The sequence below is a fragment of the Homo sapiens genome, chromosome 11, assembly GCF_000001405.40.
Source record: "Homo sapiens chromosome 11, GRCh38.p14 Primary Assembly".
NCBI lineage: Eukaryota > Metazoa > Chordata > Mammalia > Primates > Hominidae > Homo > Homo sapiens.
The window spans coordinates 31,612,363-31,634,421 of record NC_000011.10 but is presented as its reverse complement, the minus strand read 5'-3'; the positions used below and the strand labels follow the sequence as shown (position 1 = coordinate 31,634,421).

Genomic DNA, 22,059 nt, shown 5'->3' with positions numbered 1-22,059 from the left:
ATGTACATATATTTTTTTCATGATTGTTTTTCTTTGCTTTGCAATTATGCAAAAGGAAGCATATTTTCATCTTTTTTCTCTCTTGTCTAGAATGGAACTTTTTGTTTAATCTTTTATATGTACTAATTTATCAAATATTTTACAATAATAATTTTCTCTTAATAAATATGGAATAATTACAATGTTAGCCAGTAACTTTTTTTTCCTAATAGAAACTTAGTGTCATCAAAGGTAGTTAATAATTCAGGACACATAGGATATAGTGTGACAGAGGGTAAAGAGTTTAAATTTTAGAGTTAGCCAGATCCGAGCTTGAATAGCAGCTTAAAATGTACAACAGATATGGGATATTGGATAATCATTTAACTTCAGTATAGTTGTCTTTGCAAAGGGTGAAATCACAGCTATCTTGCAGGGTTTTTGTGATGATTAGTGAAGCCATATAACCTAATGGTGAGGGTGATAAGGTTTGAAGTCAGGGAAGAACACTGGCCTGCTACTTATTAACTGGGTGACCCTATGGAAACAGAGGTAAAAACTATCTGTTTCACAGGGTAGCACTGAAGATTCAAGGACATAATACTTGTAAAGTGCTTGGGATGTAGTACATGGCTAATAAATAGTTGTAGTAACAGCACAGTAGTAGTAGTAGTATAAGTAGTAGTATTTTCACCAGTATCTGATAAGTCTGTTTCATGTTTATTTATCATAAAAAGCTCACCAGGTCTACCCAAACTATTATTCGAGTACTAAATTTATGATAACTTATTAACAATGAAAGCAATACAAGTATGTATACAATGTCTAGCATGATTAGAGAAAAGAGTTTCCTTATGATATGTCTGCAACTGTAAACTAATAATAATAATTTAGGTCCAGATACAATGTATAAAAAGCCCTTCAAGGAAAACCGAATCATCCTCTGCTGCCCATTATAAATAAATAAATTCTACTGGCCAAGGAGACCAAATTCACTTCTTTTAAAATTTAATTTAATTTTTTGTAGAGATGGGGACTTGCTATGTTACCCTGGCTGAACTTCTTGCCTCAGGTGATCCTTCTGCCTCAGCCTCCCAAAGTGCTGGGATTACAGGTGTAAGGCACTGCATCTAGCTAAATTCACTTTTCATTTGTCACACTTTTCAGTCATATTTGCTATATATGCTGTATATAATGAATGTAACTAAATGTCATTTTAATAAATTTGCTATTTGCAGGTAGGGTCTGGGTATGTTGGAACAGAGATACTAAGATTACATAACTTTATAAAGATTCAATATTCATTTAACATTTACTGAATATCTAGGAAAAGCCTAGGTACTGTGTTAAGAATTTTAAAACCACGTTTAATATTATGTTATTACCATAAAGCCTATAAAGAAAAGTATAAATATCAGGCCCTCCCTCTATGGAGACTACAATGTATTAGATATATAAGATTATATGAAATCACATGCTTGAGGCAGACAATATGTACTTAACTATACTAATATTAACATATACTTTACATTAGAATATTAATTAAAGAAACTAAAAGCTGTTTCAGAACATGAACTAAAACTGTAGAAAAAATTCAAATGGAAATACATTGATTCATTAGTAAAAGAAAAAACTATAAAATGTTTGGAAGAAAACACAAGAGAAAAAGACTGTCAAGATTGGAGGTGTGAGGGAGATAAACCACTAACCATTAAAAAATTTATAAATTAAACTTCATCAATATTGAAAACTTTAGCTCTTCAAAAGACACTGTTAAGAAAATAGAAAAAGCAAGTCATAGATAGGAGGAAAATTATTACCAAGTTGTAGCTAAAATATCAAGGAACTTTACAAATTGATAATGAGACTATCAATAAAAAAATGGACAAAAGACAGACAAAAGAAGACATGCAAATGGCCAGAAAGCACCTGAAAAGATGGTCAACATCATTAGTTATCATGGAAATGCAAACTAAAACCACAATGTCATACTATATTACTATGAATTATGAAAAAGTAGTTCTGGAAATTTCGTACCTGGATCAGATGTGTTGGCATTGTGATGATGCAGGCTGAAAGAGAGGTTCTCAGAAGACCACGGAGAACATAGAGGAACTTGGTAAGGCTGTGACTGTTGCCACCATTTTCTGCACAGCAAATATCGTCTCCCCATAAAGGTGAGCCAAGATTCTGAATTCCTATTCTTAAAATGTTTCTCTGTTTTTTCTAAAAGAAAGTGGGAAAAAAGCAAACATATAAAGTTTTGTTAATCAATAGAATACCACTTTTATCTGTCAGTTCTTATCTTTATAACATCAGGGAGACAATGTCAATAGATGTGTTAAAAATTTTTATGTACTATTAGTACATAAAGCAGTATAAATGAAACTGTTTAGATTACAAGATTATAAAAAATAACTTTAACTTTTGAAAAATCTGAAGAGTATCATAAGCCTTAAGCTTTAAATTGTATCTAAATTTTAACAGCAACAACTCTAAGAATTATATTTAATGCACTTAAAATATTTAACAAAACAGATAATAATGATGAAATCTAAACTAGAATGCTTGCAAACCCCTTCTCAGTATTAGAAAATTCTTTCAGTAAACTATAAATTGTTCAATATTTCTCATTTAATTTTATCCTACCTACTGCCTGATCTTTTCTTTGAAAAAAGCTTAAAGATATATGACTTTTTGTTTTTATATTTTACATTTGCCTCTGGTTTTTCTTCTTGAAGCTGCTCTTAAAGTAATAATTTAAGTTCAACACTCTTCGTAAAATTTAACAGGTGAACATTTAGAACCTGAGCCTACTGACAGTAAGGTCACAATAAGTGACTGTATTTCTTGGGAAAAGAACATTTAAAAACTATTAATTAAACTGTGAATACATCACTGTGAATAAACATTTAACAACAGATGTGTTTATAATAAATTCTACTGTTTGGGTTATTCTAACTAAATAAATGTTTTGTAAATACTTTCCTTAGAAATTCAGCAAAATTTCTGGGCAAAAGAAGAAGGCGTTAACAAAACCTGGCATGTGCAAATAATTGAAAATTCATTATTAGAATTGATGGGAAAAGTAAGTTTGCTCTTAAAGCCATAATTTGGAATGCATGCTACTCTACAAGTGATTTCTGATGAAACAAATTCCTAAAATGTATCACTTGCTATTGCTATAAAATACCACTGATAAAATTTATTAACCAACTAGTTATTGTCTAACACAATATATCTATTTCCCTGATATTACAAATGAAAACTGAATTTGTGTATTTCTTTTTCAAGCAGAATTTATTGACCATGGAAAGGAAGAAAAATGAATACAACACTGAAATGTTAGAAGATGAAAGCCTAAAGGAACATAAGCTAGTAAATGAATAAGAGAGAATTACAGTCAGGACTATGTAACTAAGAAGATGTATGATTCTGGACAAGACACACACATTACTTAGGACTTTGTTTTCTCTTTCTTTCTTTTTTCTTTTTTTTTGAGACAGTGTCTTTCTCTGTTACCCAGATGCAGTGCAGTGGCCTTACTATAGCTTATGGTAGTCTCGAACTCCTGGGCTCAAGTGATCTTCCCACCTCTGCCTCCAGAGTAGCTGGGACTACGTGCATGTGCCACCAGATCTAGCTAATTTTTCTTTTATTGTTTTTGTAGAGACAGGGTCTTGCTATGTTGCCTAGGCTGACCTTGAACTGCTGGACTAAAGCAATCCTCCTGCCTCAGCCTCTCAAAGTATTTGGATTACAGGTGTTAGATACTGCATCCAGCCAGTTTTATTCATTTTAAATTAAAAGGAGAAGCCAGGCGCTGTGGTTCACACCTGTAATCCCAGCACACTGGGAGGCTGAGGAGGGCAGATCGCCTAAGGTCAAGAGTTTGAGACCAGCCTGGCCAACGTAGTGAAACCCTGTCTCTACTAAAAATACAAACATTAGCTGGGTGTGGTGGTGCGCACCTGTAGTCCCAGCAATTTGGGAGGCTGAGGCAGGAGAATTGCTTGAACCTGGGAGGCGGAGGTTGCAGGGAGCTGAGATTGCCCCACCTCACTCCAGCCTGGGTGACAGAGTGAGACTCCATTAAAAAAAAAAAATGAAAAGGAGAGAAGATAACATTGTTGCTCTATAATTCAATACAATTGAAGGGATATAATGGCCTGGATAAGACTATAAGAATGAAATTATAAAAAAAAAAAAAAAAAAGGATTTTAGAATAAGCACATTAGAAAAAAACTTCCTGACTCTAAGGACCTAAAACATGATTGTACTATGTAGGCAGCTGGTTCAATTTTTTAAATGATTGTGTTAAAGTTATGATAGACAACCACCTAAGACACCCTATGTTATCATCCTCAATGGTCCACAAAAATTGTTTTCTTTTTATTTCTGCATTACTTGAATGAAATGAAGTAATGAGATGTACCAGGGCTTAGGTTAGAAGTATAAATACATTTCTGGTGAATTAGTGTAAGATATCTGTAAAATATGATGGGTTATTCTTTTTTCTTTATTATTTAAAACCTCAGAATTTAAGTAAAATGGCAAGAATTTAAAGTTCATTTTGCTATCTCTAAATTTGTTATCTCATGATAACAAACATGTTAGATTCCCAACAGAAAGAGCATTCTGGAAAAAGGGAGAGAAACATACAAAAAAAAAAAAAAAATCTAGATAGTACAATGAAACGCAAAGGTAAAAGGAGAGCAGGATAATATTGTTTTCTCTGTTAACATTTCAGAAACTAAAGATCAACAGTATTTTAACCCACTGTCCCATTATCTATTATTGTATTAAAAAGTACTTGACAAAAGTTTACAACAAAAATGCTGTTAGGTATGAAATTAGGAGAACTACAGAGGTTTAATGACTCTGACAGATACACTGATATATGTATATCAAGTGAATGAAAATATTAAGCCAAAAAATGAATGAGAGATAAGATATTTAAGTGAGGTGGGTACCCAGCACAACAGATATAATTGAACATAATACTTCACTTATATTTTAAAAAATATAATGGTAATTGCAAAAACAAAGGCTGAACTATAAATCTCTTGTGTCCTTTAGGATATATAATTCCTTTGCTATGCCATATAATAATGGGGCATACTGTGTGGCATAAGATTAAAAAAAAGAACCTTGTAGCTGTACAATAAATAGTTTTATTCCTACGAGAACATCCAAAATATTTAATCTGGTATTCTAAGTAAAATCCATGTTCAAATTTCATTTTTATCATATATTTCTAAGATATTTAAAAATAACAACTTAAATGAAATTATGACCGCAATTTGTAAATGTCTGCACTCTAATTATTTTTACAGATGAGCTACACTACTTTACTTACTACCAAGGCTAATTATAAGGTAGTATACAATATTCTGTTCCTTAGAGTCTATTTCTATATGCTGTCTCAAATTAGTTGTTTATTTGAAAACACGTTAAAAAAAAGATAAAAACTTTCTTTAAAAATGTAACATTTATTTCAATGTCAGAACATTATTTTTGACTTAGGAATAATATTTTTTGAAGTAGTGCCTTATAGGCGTATTTCTCTGGCTTCTAGAACTCATCTGAAGTTTCTGAGACAGATATATATACTAAGTAATTTAGCAAACAGTACAATTAATTTAAAGATAAGAAAACTCATTATATTTTAGTTGCAATAAAATTGTAAGTATATTTCTATAATAACGTATTGGTATATTTTAATTTAAAAAGTTTTGGTATTCACCATAGGAATGTCTACCTGAACCCTGTTTAATCTTTATAAAAGTCATTAATTATAGAATCTCTGGTTCAGAAAGCCAAACCAGCTCCAGTTTGGTGTCTATCAATTTCTGTGAAAAAAAAATTGTTTTTTGAAAATAGTGTTTTCATCATCGAATAAACAACTAAGAAAACAAATGTTTTACTCTATTCCTATACTAGCTTACTTATTAAGGATTCTTAAGGTATATCTGTGTGTGTGTGTGTGTGTGTGTGTGTGTGTGTATTCCTTTTGCTATTACCTTTGCTTTTGGGATTCTATAAAATTTCTTACTCTCAGAAGATGTGTCATCATCATCCTGCAAGAAGAGCAGCTCTGCACACTGTACCATTGGAACTGTTATGACATGCCTGTTTCCATAGTTACCACAGCAAGTGGGGATAGGTGTCTGTCAGGGACCAATTTACCTCTCCAGACAAGCACTGGCACCAAAGGAAAGACACAGTACCCATAAATCTTAGGTAGGGCCAAAAATGGAGCAACACTGAGCAAAATAAAATTGTATTAAATACTAAAGGCCGTCACAAAAATTATGACATACATGAAAAGTCACCTATAAATAAATGACTGTACTTTATCATACACACATAAGTATTTCCAATCTGCAATTAAACTGGCAATCAAAACAAAATGAAAAATAATTTATTTTGCCATGGAAAACCTGTTAAATATAATAATAAAGTTTACAAGAATATTTAAAAATCCATGAGTTGAGCACAAATGTAGCTGATAGTGCCAAAAATAAGACTTTCAGCTTCTCTGTCTTCTTCAATAAAAATAATGGTGCTTTAGAAATACTTCTGCTAAAATAATACAAATGTAATGCAAATCATTTAGTAGCAAAAGCAATTAAAATCACTGTGGAAGAATTTTGAAAGGCATGATATGTAGAAATAAAATCTTCCTCACTTTGTTTAAGCTAAACTAACCAGAACATCTTTATTAGTGGAAATTTGGAGGAAGTTTTAAAAATTAGAGCTACAGAGAAATCGTTGTTATAAAATATTTAATATGGCAAATAAAAATGTATTTTTAATTCAATAAAACAAAGTATAATACAATAAAATCTTAACATAATTCTTACTCATAAGGTAATTTGAAATAAGGCCTGAATGTCAGAAACAGGAACAATTTAAATAGAAAAGTACAAGCCTTGCAGATTTAAAAGTAATTCTCAAAATGCAGCTACTTAATCCCAAATGCTACAAATGCATATTTAAAAATGATGTTGATAAAGTATGTGTATGTCTTATGTGCCTCCACTGAGAACTTAGCTGAAACTCTAAATACACAGTAACAGTCAAACTAAGGCTGCTTGTGCTCTGCTTATGTACATGTTCTGTGCTTGAAAACAGCTTGTTCACTGTTTATTATTCTAAAACTTCTGGGTTCCCGCCCCCCCCCCCAGAGAATTTGAAAACAACATTATATAAATAATTATAAAAGACTTTGAAGCTATTTAATACCTGAGGATTGGATCCATCAAATCCTTCCTCATAAATGATGTTCTGGATAAACTGAAGCAGCTTTGTGTAGCCAGGGGTCAAAGAACTGTTGGTAAAAGAAGTGGTTCAAATACATAAATGGGTTATTACATAAGAAGTACACAATCTATGATAAAACATTAAGTAAATAATTAAAAGGCATACATTTATTAGATTACTTAAGAATGTCAAAACAGTATTATATAATCCTAAAATATAAAGTCAATACATACAGGGAATAAGTTACAATGCCTTATTATAACTTGCTCAGTGTTCCTGACATCATAGGAAGATAAAAACCTGTGGAGACTAAGATAACTTAATTATGTCAGGCTTAGTTACCTCCAAGAAAATTAATGATTTAATGCAGCAACCTAAAAGATGAAGCCACTATAGATTTTCAGGAGTAATCATACATAATTAACACATAGTTAATGAACTGCTATGCCAAGTACACCTGAATCCATGTCCTGATCACCTGAGCTCATCTTCCATCAAAGTTAATTTTCTTAGAACAAACTTCTAAAATAATAATAATTTTAAAGCTTGATTTTTTAAGACACACGAAGAAAAGTGAGTATGATTTTCACTTCCCTTGTTAAAAGAAGACAATAAATGGATGAATTTAAGAAGAAAACCAAATTTATTTCTCATATAAATAATAACATTAATGTTATTGTTTTAAAATATTTTACAAATGCTATGAAATATCCCAAAGAATCTTCAGTAAGCATGAGGAAAATCTGCTTTACATTATCTGAAGTTAAGATTCTGCATAATGGACAATCTGTGTGCTATGACTGAACATTAATGTCATGATAATGTCATGAGCATAGCAATCCCATAGACATTGAAGTGCCTAATGCTGTAAAAGCTGTGGGTGACCTTAAAATTATGCAAGTATTTGCTTTACTGTGATCCTAAGTAAGCAATCACATAGGCAGAAGAAATATCCAAAGAAAGAATGAAATCTAATTTGAAGCATGAATGCAGCAGTAAAGAATATAAAATGTTAGGAAACATAGCAGACTGCTTAGTGTGCAAAATCAATGGTAGGTGGTTCAGGAAACATAGAGGTACATCTCTGTAAACATGTAGTTGAACAGCCACAATAAACCAAAAGTGTCTATCTTGCAAAAACAAAACAAACAAAAAGAATGCTGTTGTGTACAAAACAAATACAGCTCCAGATAATGAAAAATTTGGTACTTTGGCTATTTCTCATACAGTTATTTCTCCATTTTCAGTGAAAATTCTGTAGATTACATAGACACTTTTTTTCATGAGTGTGGAAACGTGTGCAAAAATAATATTCTGTAAGGGCAATTTTGTGACTATTTCATATCTTAACACACATCTATCCCTGCTAGATCAACTTTTCAGAACATAGTGCAGTAGATTCAATTCTAATCTGGATCAATCTGCTTTGCACAAGTGGTAAAAGCTGCAAGCTTTCAGATTATGAAATGAATTCCAGCCAACGATCTGATGAATGTCACTATGGGTTATAGGAGAGTGGATAAAAAATATAGCCAATGCATTCTAATCCACTAATAATAATTCTACCCCAAACCCTTATTATTTCATATAATAATAACAGGGGATCATGCAATATTCATCTTTCTGTGTTGGGCTTATTTCATTTGCCATAATGTCCTTCAGTTTCACCCATGTTGTCACAAATGACAAGATTTCTGTTTGAAGGTTAAAAGTTCATTGTGTGTGTGTACACCACATTTTCTTTATTCATTCATCCCTTGATGAACACTTATGTTGATTCCATATGTTGATTATTGTGAATAACGGTATAGTAAACATGGGAGTGTAAATATGTTTTCAACATACTGATTTTATTTCCTTTAGATATACAGTCATGCACTGCATAGGGACGTTTTGGTCAATGATGGACCACGTATACAACAATTGCCCCATAAGATTGTAATAGAATTGAAAAATTCCCATCATCTAGTGATGTTGTAGCCATATTACTCACGTTTATGGTGATGCTTGTGTAAACAAACTGTCCTAAAAAGTACAGCACATATAATTATGTATTGTACATAATAATAATAAATGATTACTTTACTGGCTTATGTACTTACTATACTATTTATTGTTAGAGTATACTTCTTTTATTTATTGGAAAAAAAAAAAGCTAACAATAAGATAGACTCAGGTGACCAGGTCCTTCAGGAGGTAGTCCAGAAGAAGGCATTCTTATCACGAGATGACAACTATATGTGTGTTACTGTCCCTGAAGACCTTCCAGTGGGAAAAGATGTGGAGGTAGAAGACAGTGATATTGATAATCATGACCCCACACAGGCCTAGAGTAATGTGTGTGCTTGTGTCTTAGTTTTTAACAAAAATTTTAAAAGTAAAAAAATTAAAAATAGCATATAGAATAAGAATATAAAGAAACAATATTTTAGTAGAATTGTGTGAAGTGTGTTTTAAGCTGTTATTACAAGAGTCAAAAATGTTTTTAAAATGTAGAAGTTTATAAATTAAAAATGTTACAGAAGCTAAGGTGAATTTCTTATTGAAGAAAGGAAAATATTTTTAGTAAATTTAGTGTAGCGTTAAGTGTACAGTTATAAAGTCTACAGTAGTATCCAGTAGTATGTTAGGCTTTCACATTCACTTACCACCCCTTTACTGACTCACCCAGAGCAACTTCCAGTCCTGTAAGCTCCATTCTCGGTAAGTGTCTTATACAGGTGTACCCCTTTTTATCTTTTAGACTATTATTTACTGAACCTTTTCTGTGTTTAGAAACACAAATACTTGTATTACAATTGCCTATTCAGTCCAGTAACATGCTGCACAAGTTTATAGGCTAGGCCCAAGAGACTACTATAGAGCCTAGGTATGTAGACTGTACCACGTAGATTTGTGTAATTACACTCGATGAAATTGTCCAATAATGTATTTCTCAGAATGTATTTCCATTCATAAGTGTCAAATGACTGAATGTTCAGAATTGGGGTTGTTGGATATGGTGGTTCTCTTTCTGATTTTTAAAGGAACCTCTATACTGTTTTCTACAATGGCTGTTCTAATTTATATTTCCACCAACAGTATACAAGGGTTCCTTTTTGTCCATATCATCTCCAACACTTTTGTCTTTTTGATAACAGTCATTCTAACAGGTGTGAGGTGAAACCTCATTGTCTTTTTAATGTACATTTCCCTGATGATGAATAATGTTGAGCACTTTTTCATATATGTGTTGGCCATCTGTATGGCTTCTTTTGAGAAATGTCTATTTTGGTCCTTATCCAATTTTTTAATTGAGTTATTTGTTTTCATGCTATTGTGTTGTTTGAGTTCCTTAATATTTTGAATATGAACCCTTTTATTAGACATATGGTTTGCAAATATTTACCCCCATTCCATAGGTTTTTTTTTTACTCTGTTGATTGTTACCATTTTTGCACAGAATAGGGGGGTTCTTTGATATGAGAATAAAAAGGAAGATGCAAAGCCAATACTTCTTAATTTCTTATTTAACCCTGACATAAAACAAGTCAATCATCAACAATGCTTAAAATTTTATAAGTAATAAAATAAATTCCTCTAATTAGATTTCTAGAAAAATAAACTATTTGGTAACAAAATAAAATGCAATAAATCAATACATTTAGGTATTATCAATTGTGAATATTAATTTTTGAATATATGGGATTAAATCACTTAAAACTGAAATCATTTACATGATATTGATAATAAAATACTAAGTACTGTTAATCTCCATGTTTCTTTGCCAGCAATGTTTCTAGTTTTATATATATATATATATATATATATATATATATATATTTGCTGAAAATAAATATCTTCTATTGTCATCTAAAATTTTGGTTTGTTACTAAAATCCTTTACTTTTGAGGATGCTTACTCTTGTGTGTGTGTTTAGTAGTGTAGGCACTGATAAAACAGGAGTTGGCAAGAAGTAAACCCAGTTAAAAATATGATCCTGGCTTCTTTATTAATGTTTCCAAACATTCAACAAAGATTACGTTATCAAATTATTTAAAACATCCTTCAAAAGTGGCACATTTCTAATCATTCTGTGATCACATTATATGAATTTGTATACTATTTTGCCTGAATTTCATATATTTTCAACAACTTTTATATTATAATGATCTATTTTGAGATTCTACAATGTGCCTTTAAAACTATTAGCTATACAAAGAACATAAAGACAATTACTAGAACTTTACTTTTTACCTTTAAAATATCAAGCATTTAATATTTTCTTTAGTTAAAAAAGTAAAATTGTTCCATGTGCATTATTCATGCTTTTCTGCTAATATTATCATGTTGTTTAGTAAGAATTTATTTCTTTATACTAATATATAAACATGGATAAAAGGGGCCAAATGACACAAATGTAAACCTGTTTTCTGACGACCAAGTTTCATATTTTTTAGAGATGATAGAAAAAAATTAAACTCATGCTTATCAATATTCTATCCCCATCTCTAATTTTCCTCAAGAGGTGTAAAGCACATTTGCATCAGATAATTTTAATTCCTATCAACAAACTGCATTGGTTTTGCTGTGAAAAGTAGTGTTGCCATTCAATCTTATTAAGAAAGATAAAAAAATTAGCTGTAAAAAAAAGAATCAGATGTAGTATTATACAAAAGAAGATGTAGTATTCTACAAAAGAAATCAAGTACAGGTAGATGATAAATAACAGACAAAAACTACAGTTTTGGAAACAATAAACAAAGGAACACTTAGCAAAAGTCCTCAAAGAAACACTTAAAAATCTTTTAATAATTAAGAAAAAAGAAAAAAAGTCACTTCAACTGAGGGGTTTAATACAAAAATATTTAAATATGAGTAAAGAACAATATACAACACTGCCACCACCAACAAAAAACCCTGGGTAACAGGAGACAATATTTTATCAGTGAAAAGGTTAAGTTACAAAAATAAGATCATGCACATGTGATTTTAAAATAACTTGTTGATAAGTGAAAAATCTATACATAGATAACAGGCTCTTAGGTTGATTTTCAATAAGACTACCTGATTTTAATTATATCAACTGATAAAGTGTTTGGTACATAGTAAATAATCAAAACACTTTTGTATCACAGTCACCACATTCGATGAATAGAATAACCTTGTGAGGTTAAGTATAGTCATTCTCCCCATTTTATGGTTGAGATTTTAAGACCATTCTGAGGCTAAATAATTTGCCCAAGGCTGTGCGACAATTAAGGGACACAAACGGCACTTAAAACTCAAACTTTCAAGAACTCAAATTACCTGCTCTTTTGGCTATACTAAGATAAAGCCCCACAGTGAGATCTAGATTCAATGAAAAGCCTGTGGTAATGTGGTCCAGAGGAGGTCTGAACATGGCTCCATTCAACATAGCCAAATGAAGCATTCAGGTGCATAGTTTTAGGAAGAGATTTCTCTTTTAGTTGCACTGATGGAGGCCTCCACCAAGGCCTTACTTACAATGTACTTGGTACACGATGTATAAAGAAAACTCAATACTGTGAAGTGTATGCTTACAAATATATAAACTAGATATGAGTATTGTATAGTTGGAATGTAGGTTTAAGATCTGGGTTCTAGTTCTACCTGTGTCAACATGTACATGTGTGGTATGAGGTAAATTGTTTAAATTTTCTGTTCTGGTCTTCGAAATTTTCTCATCTGTAAAGCCAGGGATTGCATTAGATAATCTATGTTGTCCATTCTGACTTTGAAATCATATGGTTTCAAATATGGTTTTTCTCATTAAAATCAGTCATTGCTTGGCTTTTAAAAATAAGAACTTCTGATATATTTAAGTATTGATTTAACTACTTGATATAAACATTTAGGACGAGAAGCTGTTATCACTCCCAATTAGGATTAATTTAAAGTGAAGATGAAGCATTTTTGACATTATTATGCAAATAAATGAGAAAGTATGATTTGTATTACCAAAATTCTATTTACACATATATTTTAGGTATTCATCTATGACAAATAGTGAGATACCCTTGTAAGGCAGTAGGCAAAATATCAAGTGTCTCAACTAATTGTATAAAATAGTTTGCTGAGTTAAAGTTATATTAGCATATAATTTGCATGTGACTATAGAGACCGTGAAGTTTATTCACAAGTAATTTTCAAGTTAAAAATTTCATTACTGTTACCCTGAAGGCTGTCATTTACTGATTTTTCTCCTCTGATGATTTTCAGCTAAGAATACTGAGTTTGATTATCTTCACCATGGATGTTCAACTAAGAACATATAAAGTGTAGGAATGTATTAAGGGCACCAAGAAGAACAATGACCAGCAGAAACCTCTGAGCCACAGCTAGGAAAATACTAAGAACTATGAGGATGCACAAATTACATGTATGGTCTAAGCAATGCAGGTTCTGACAGGGATACTATTAAGAGGGGTTATGATCCTTCATGAAAAATAACTCAGCTTGACATCACTCTGACTTCCTTTAATTACTGATGTAAACAAGGTTTTAGACTATGTCTCCTACTACCCTTCACTGTTGCTGTCATCTACCCAACTCTGGGTCATGACTCACCTTTCTAACACTCTGGCCTTTCAGTATTTTGATCTCTCTTCCAACAATCTTATCTCCATTCTATTTAAGTTGATCATCCCCATGGTTGTTTTTTAGACCATGTAATTATCAATAACTGCCATACCTCTATAATCTCAATTTCATGCACACCCCTCTACATAACCACTACTTTCTTTCCACCTAGTACCCATAGGCAATCATTTGACCCTGCTGAGATCTCTATATCATTGTCTACCACACCTTTCACTCACCTGCTTTGATAAGCTCTTTCAATTAATTAACCATCTCAATCCATGGTCAATCCTTATCCTCACTTCCTTGCTCTTCTCTTGCTTTGTCACACTTACTGCTATTCTTGTTAAACACAACTCTCTGTCTATTCCACACTTGCCTCAATGTAGCTAAAAATGGCCAGAGAAACAGACTGGTATGACTTTAACTTCATGACCACAAACCTCAATAAGCCCTTAAGGCTATTCCCACTATACATATCCTCACTCTCCTAGATGACAATGTCATACTTTCTCTTTTTCTTTTTTTGTTGAAACCTCCAATATCTCTTCCTCCATCTTCATTATCAGTTTATAACCTTTCAATGAGAAAACAGAAGCAGCCAGAAGGGACACCTAGCACACATTTTCTACCTGCTATGGTTTGAATGCTCATGTCCCCACAACACTTGTATGTTGAGCTCTAATATGCAACAGTATTAAAAGGTGAGAATTTGAGAACACATGGACACAAGAAGGAAAACAACACACACTGGGGCCTTTTGGAAGGTGAAAGGTGGGAAGAGGGAGAGGATCAGGAAAAATAACTAATGGGTACTAGGCATAATATCTGAGTAATGACATAATCTATACAACAAACCCCCATGACACAAGTTTGCTTATGTAACAAACCTGCACTTACACCCCTGAATTTAAAAGTTGAAAAAAAAAAACAATAAAAAACAGAGGTGAAAATTTTGGGAGGTGATTAGGTCATGAGGGTGGAGCACTCATAAATTAGATTAACACTGTCTTAAAAGAGGTCCATGGGAACCTGTATTCCTCTTCTGCCATGCCCGAGGTTACACAGAGAAGACACCTATCTATGAAGAAAGTGGGCCCTCACCAGAATCTGACTATGCTGGCACCCTTATCTTGGAACTTCACAGCCTCCAGAACCATAAGAAATACATTTCTGTTATTTATAAGCTGCTGTTTATGGTATTTTTGTTATAGTAGCCTGAACAGACTAAGACACCACATTCTCAGCACGTGTAGCCAAATATATACTCTGTCTTCTCACAGGCTGCCATATGTGAACTAACTAAACTCCTATACCAACCCAGTACCTCCACCTGTGCACGGGCCTCATACCATAAAATATCACTTGGGCAATTCTCTCCTCTCTCCTTCATTATTAACTTCTCCTTTTCTACTGATTGTTTCCTATAATATATAAACATATCGTTATCTCTCCCTTGAAAAAATAAAACCACCACTTGTCCCATCTCATTTACCAGCTACTACTCTATTTTTCTGCACCAAACCCCTTAAATTTTCTAAAATTCAGTGCCTCCAATCCTCTCCTTACATTTTCACTTAAATCCATTCCAAGTAGTATGTGACCACCCCCATCCCATCCATTAAAACTGCTTTTATTATGGTGACTGATGACCTCCAATGGCTAAATTCAATTGGTCTGTTTTCTTTTTTTTGGTAACAACTTTATTGAGATAGAATTCAGGTACCATACAATTCACCCACTGAAAGTGTACAGTTCAATAGTTCTAGTATATTGACAGCTATTTAAGTATTACCATAATTTTAGAATATTTTCATTCCTTCAAAAAGGAATCTCATACCTGTTTTATCAACTCCCTCCAATTCTCCTAGCCCTAAGGAACCATTAATGTACTTTCTGCCTCTCTATATTTCATATTATTATTTCACACAAACGAAATCATGTAATATGTTGTCTTTTATGAAGGGTACTATGGTTTGAATGTCGGTCCCCTTTAAAACTCATGTTGAAATTTAGTTGCCATTGTTACCGTATTAAGTGGTGGGACCTTTGAAAGGTGATTTGGCCATAAGGGCTCCACCATCATGGGCAGGATTGGTGCCAGTACAAAAGGGTGAGTTCAGTCCTTTCTCACTCTCCTGGTTCTTCCATTCTTTTGCCATGTGAGGAACAGGGTTCCTCCCCTCTGGAAAGTGCAGTGTTCAAACTACCGTGTTGGAAGTGGAGACTCGGTCCTTAACCGACACCAAACATGCTGGCAACTTGACCTTGGGCTTTCAAACTTTCAGAACTATGAGAAATAAATTTCTATTGTTTATACATTACTTAGTCTACGGTATTGTGTTATAGCAGCACAAAACAGACTAAGACAATTGTTTTCTCTCACTTACTATAATGTTTAAAGGATTCATCTGAGCTGTACCCTGTATCAGTACTTCATTCCTTTTTATGGTGAAATAAATATTACATTGTATGGATATAACATTTTTTATCCACTCATCAGTTGAGGGACATCTGGGTTGTTTCCACTTGTGAGCTATTATGAATAATGCTGTTATGAACATTTATGTACAGGTTTTTGTACATAAATGTACCAAAAAAAGGTTCTGTTTTAATCCTCTTGGGGATATACCTAGGAGTAGAATTTCTGGGTCAAATGGTAACTTTAACTTTTTGAGAAACGCCAGAGTGTACCAGTCCAAAAGACTACTATTTTATGTTCTCATCAGCTATGTATGATGGTTTTGATTTCTTCACATCCTTGTCAACACTTGTTATTATCTGATTCTTTAATTCTAGCTATCCTAGAGGATGTGAAGTGGTATCTCATTTTGTTTTTGCTTTTGGGGTGTTTTTTTTTTTTTTAACTTTTTTTTGGCTTGGAATATCTTTATTTGTCATTTTACTTTGAGTATTTCTTTGTTTGGTTTTGATTTATCTTCTATTAACAGAATATGCTGATTTTCAAATCCAATCTGTTTTTCCCCATTTTTCTTTTTAATTGTGGTTAAAAAACCCATATAACATAAAATTTACTATCTTAACCACTTTTGAGTATATATGTTGCACAACTTAACATTAAGTTAAACAGATCTCCAGAACTTTTTTATCTTGTAAAACTGAAACTGCTTATCCATGAAACAAGAAACAACAACTCCTCACTTCCCTCTTTCCCTCAACCCCTGGTAACTACCATTCCATTTTTGGTTTCTGTGAAATTTGACTACTTTAGATATCTCATATGAGTAGAATCATATTTATCTTTTTGTAACTGATTTCACTTAGTACAATGTCAAGGTTCACTCATGTTGTAATATGTATTTTTACATATGTATTTATATATGAAATATGTATTTCCATCATTTTTAAGGCTAAATAACATTTCATTATATGGTATATTTTATTTATCAGTTCATCAGTTGGTGGACATTTGCACTACTATCACCTCTTGCCAACTGCAAATAATGCTGCTATGAACATGGGTGTCCAAATATCTCTTCAAATCCCTGCTTTCCATTTTTTTGGACATATACCTAGAAGTGGGATTGTTGGATCATACGGTTTTGAGAAACTGCCATGCTGTTTTCCATAGCAGTTACACATTTTACAACCCAAATAGTGCACAAGGGTTCCAATTTCTCCACATCCTAACCAACACTTGATCTTTTCTGTTCTTTTTTACTTTTTCCTTTCCTATTTTTCATTTTTATCCTAACAGATGTGAGGGGGTATCTTGTGGTTTTGACTTGTATTTGTCTAATGGTTAGTGATAGCACTTATTGATATGCTTGTTAGCCTTCTGTATATCATCTTTGGAGAAATGTCTATTCAAGTCCTTTGCCTATTTTATAAAGTCAGGTTATTTGTTTTTATGTTGTCAAGTCGTAGGAGTTCTTTATTCTGGATATTGGCCTCTTATGAGATATATAATTTGCAAATATTTTTTACCATTTCTTACGTTGCCTTTTCACTGTTGATTAAGTCCTTTCATGCACAAAAGTTTAAGTTTGATGTCATCCTATTTGTCTATTTTTGCTTTTATTGTTTGTGCTTTTGGTGTCATATCCAAGAAATAATGGCCGAATCCAAGATTATGAAATGTTTCCCCTATGTTTTCTTCCAGGATTTTAATAGTTTTGAATCTTATGTTTAGGTCTTTAATCCATTTTAATTTTTGCATATGATGTAAGACAGGGATCTATCTTCATTTTTATTTTTATTTTTTTGCATGTAGATACCCAGTCTTCCCATTTGTTAAACAGTCCTTGTGAGTGACCTTGGTACCCTGTTGAAGATTATTTGACCATATATACCAAAATTTATTTTTGGGCTATCTATTCTATTGGTTTGTGTATCTGTCCTTATACGCAATTTTTACTTTATACCACAATGTTTTAATTACTGTAGCTATGTAACATGTTCTGAAATTAGGAAGTATAAAACTTCCAACTTTGGTCTTTTTCAAGAGTAGTTTGGCTGTCTGGGGTCCCTTGAGTTTTAGTCCCTGTGTAACTTTAAGTAAACTAAATCTGTTGTTTCTATTTCCTTCTTTTCAAACTGGGGATACTACTAATGTCATAGGATTTTTGAAGAATTAAATGAGATAACAAATGTAATATGAAAAAATAAAAATAGTACTTGACAGAAAAATCAGTTCTCATTAACTTAGTTATGATCAATCCCCATGAAGTCAATATAATATAGTAACACTCCAGTTGCAGGATGGAAGGTGATTGGGTGGGATGACTAGATGGAACAAGGTATGCAATTAAAGAGGTATGAAGGGATGGGACTAATACAAAATTACCACTTGCTCAGTGAGTAGCAATAAGGACAATATGTTATCAAATCTTTTAACTCACATTGAAAAGTGAGCTAAGTTGTGTGTGAGAAACATGAAATATAGCCACTGTTCATTTAGGGGCCTACATCTAAGGAGAATTGATCTCCAAATAAACTTTTCTTAAATGAAAAAGTGGGATAGGGGAAAAAAAAAAGCTGATTGTGTTCAGATGAAAAATATTTGCCCAAGTAGTTACATTTTTTTCGAAGTAAAAATAACTTTATTGATTTATCTTCTAATAAAAATACGTTTCTTATAATAAATTTCAAAATATAAACAGAAATAATAACAATTATGATGGCTAAAATTCATTAACCCTTTACTATGCCAGCTACTGTATGCTAAGTGCTATCTCTTTGGTTCTGGTTTACATTTCTTTTGATGTAGTGACATTTATTGGTCATTTCTGTATCTTTTTCTGAGAACATCCTCTTAACGTTAACCTTTTGCCTGTTTTGAAGTAGGGTATTCAATTTTTTCTTACCCATTTAAACATAACCATAATTTAATGAAATATATGCATGTATGTAATTTTTGAAATTTTGAAACCATCTCAAACTTACATAAAAGTTGCAAATATAGAACAAAAAATCTTTTTTTTCCCATTCCACTTGAGAGTAAGTTGCTGACCTGATGACTTATCACTTCTTAATAATTTAGGATATGATTCCTACAAACAAGGACATTCTTCTAGAGGAGAACAATACAACCATCTGACCTGGCATACTGGTAAAAGGAGGAAACTGAGACTACCATCTAATCCTCACACTCCATTCAAGTTTCAGCAGTTGTTCCAATATCATCCTATACAGCAAAACGAAATAGCTTAGAATCACCTGTTGTATTCAGTTGTCATTTGTTCTCTTCAGTCTCCTTCAATATGGAAGTTCGTTAGATTTACCTTAACTTTCATGATCTTGACACTTTTGAGGATTATAGTCCAGATGTTTGGTAGAATGTTTCCAATTTGGATTTGTGTGATGCTTCTTCGTGATTACATTTGAATTATTAATTTTTGGTGGAAATATCACAGAAATATTGCTGAGTTCTCATTGCGTATTATCTGGTGATACATGCTTTTGATCATCCCCACTACTGGTGATGTTAACTTGATTAAGGCAATTCTTCTAGTCTTCTCCACTGTAAAATTATTCTTTTCCCCTTTGTAGTTAATAAGTATTTTGTGGGATGGTACTTTCTGGCTATGTAAGTTATCTTATACCTCAAAAAACTTTCAATTTATTCATTTATTTATTTATATCAGTATGTACTTATAGCTTCCTATTTTATTAAATCCATTGCTATCATTATTTATTTTGATGCTCAAATTGGCCAACATGCCCAGTGAGAACTCCTTTGGGCTGGCTTCTGTGTCCTTTTGATATGCCATCATCATTCTTTAAGAACTTCTACACATAAAAAGATGTTCCAGGCATATCTTTTCCCTTCTCTTCCATCAACCATTTCTCCAAAGAGTCCCAGTGCCTTTGAATGGAGAATGGCATTTAGATCTGAGCATGAGATATACTCATTGCTATTTCTCAACTCCAAGAATTTAAGACATTCATTCATATTTTCTGCGATTATTTTAATAATTTCATTTATTATATTTATCTCTTTAACTCTATGGAAATATAATATGATGTGAGATATAAGGTAAGAATTTACTATTTTATTACCAAATGATTAGGCCCATAATTTGAAATCCCTTCCCTTGTTATAAAAATGACTCAAGTGTTCAGGCCAGGCACGGTGGCTCATGCCTGTAATCCCAGAACTTTGGGAGGCCAAGGCAAACAGGTCACTTGAGGTCAGGAGTTCTAGACCAGCCTGGCCAACATGGTGAAACCCCATCTCTATTAAAAATACAAAAAAATTAGCCAGGTGTGGTGGTGTGCGCCTGTAATCCCAGCTACTCAGGAGGCCGAGGCAGGAGAATTGCTTGAACCCAGGAGGTAGAGGCTGCAGTGAGCCGAGATCACACCACTGCACTAGGCAACAGAGCAAGACTCCATCTCAAAAAAAAAAAAAAAAAGACTCTTGTTCATCATAAAAATTCAAACGTATAAAACATACAAAGAATAATAATAAAAAAAAACTTATCCGGAATCCACCACCCAGAGGCAAATATTGTTAACAGTTTGGTGAATATCCTGTAAGACATCTCTCTATACCAGTCCTGTTTCTTACTGAGAAAAACGATTGCAGGATATTAAGAAGTATGCTGATAAAAATGTTTTTGATTCTAAAAAGAAGAGTTTTACCAATAAACAAATGTAAAGAGGATTATTATTACTATGTATTTCAATAATGTTTGGCATTTCCCTCACAGCCTTTCAAATACTAATGTATACTGTGAATCTCTTAGATAATCTAGGAAGGGGATTTAGTTTGCAGTCTTTCATGAGCTTATTTGACTGCATATCACTAGGTTTTTGGAAGCTAAATTAACATCTCCTGAATTAGTGTTAGAAAAGAATTTGGGATAAGCTATACAAAATTTTATGTAAATAGGATTCTGCTATTTATCCTATTTCTATAATCTGCTTTTTCACTCCATTATATCATGGATGCAAAGCCCAGTAACCACCCCTGATCTCTTATACAGAAAAAACTTCTGCAGAGCCACCTCTCTACAGCCATTGCTGCAGTTTTTACAGCTTCCATTAGCCTTAGACCCTAATAAAAGCCACAGTGCCCACCACCCTCCAAAGCACGACGGAATTTCCCTCGAAAGGTGGTAGACACTTGAGCCTAACCAAATAAAGCTGCAGCTTAGAATCTTTTCCTCAATATTTGGGACATTTGGTTGGTATTCTCTTTGTTTTCCAGTATCACTTTCAAATCACTCCTCCTCCACTTCCTAGGAAAATGAAACTAACAAACAAATCCATGCTTCTTTTACATATAGCTAACCCCCAGCCATTCTCCTTTTAAGTTGCTGTCTTTATCAAGCTCCTGGACATTTTCCTTACTGTTAACTGAAGACTCTGCACCTGGCTTACAGTCCTAATTCAAACATCTTATTCTCACCCAATATTACTTATTTTAGTAGCTTGCTTTCTTCATTTACCTCCACTATTAAGATTAGTAAATCTACTACCAGTGTACTGCCCCTTCTCTTTCTCCTTATATACATATGTATCAACAGCAATTGTCTTCAGTTGTTTTTCTTCAGCCTAAAGTTCATGATCCAACATTTTGTTCACTGTTTTTAATCGTTTAAACTTCTTTGTTCTTTGTCCTACTCACTCCACCTTGCAAAATTTCAACCCAGGAATCTTAGCACAGAAGCAAGAAAGTCACACAATCTGATAGACTGGCACCACTCCAACCATTTGAGATTTCTGTAGTCAGTGTATTCTTCCGGTCTATGAAATAACCCTTTT

General features: G+C 32.8%; 1 protein-coding gene across 3 annotated transcripts in view; it reads right to left on the bottom strand.

Annotated features, from left to right (window-relative positions):
• ELP4 (elongator acetyltransferase complex subunit 4) overlaps positions 1-22,059 on the bottom strand; it is a 280,558-nt gene that overhangs the window by 155,903 nt on the left and 102,596 nt on the right. For all 3 annotated transcript variants that reach the window (NM_001288725.2, NM_001288726.2, NM_019040.5), the window contains exons 6-7: positions 7,228-7,312; positions 2,017-2,205 (exon numbers count right to left, since the gene is read on the bottom strand). In NM_001288725.2, coding sequence (NP_001275654.1) covers positions 2,017-2,205; positions 7,228-7,312 — 274 coding nt within the window. The remainder of the gene's footprint in view (positions 1-2,016; positions 2,206-7,227; positions 7,313-22,059) is intronic.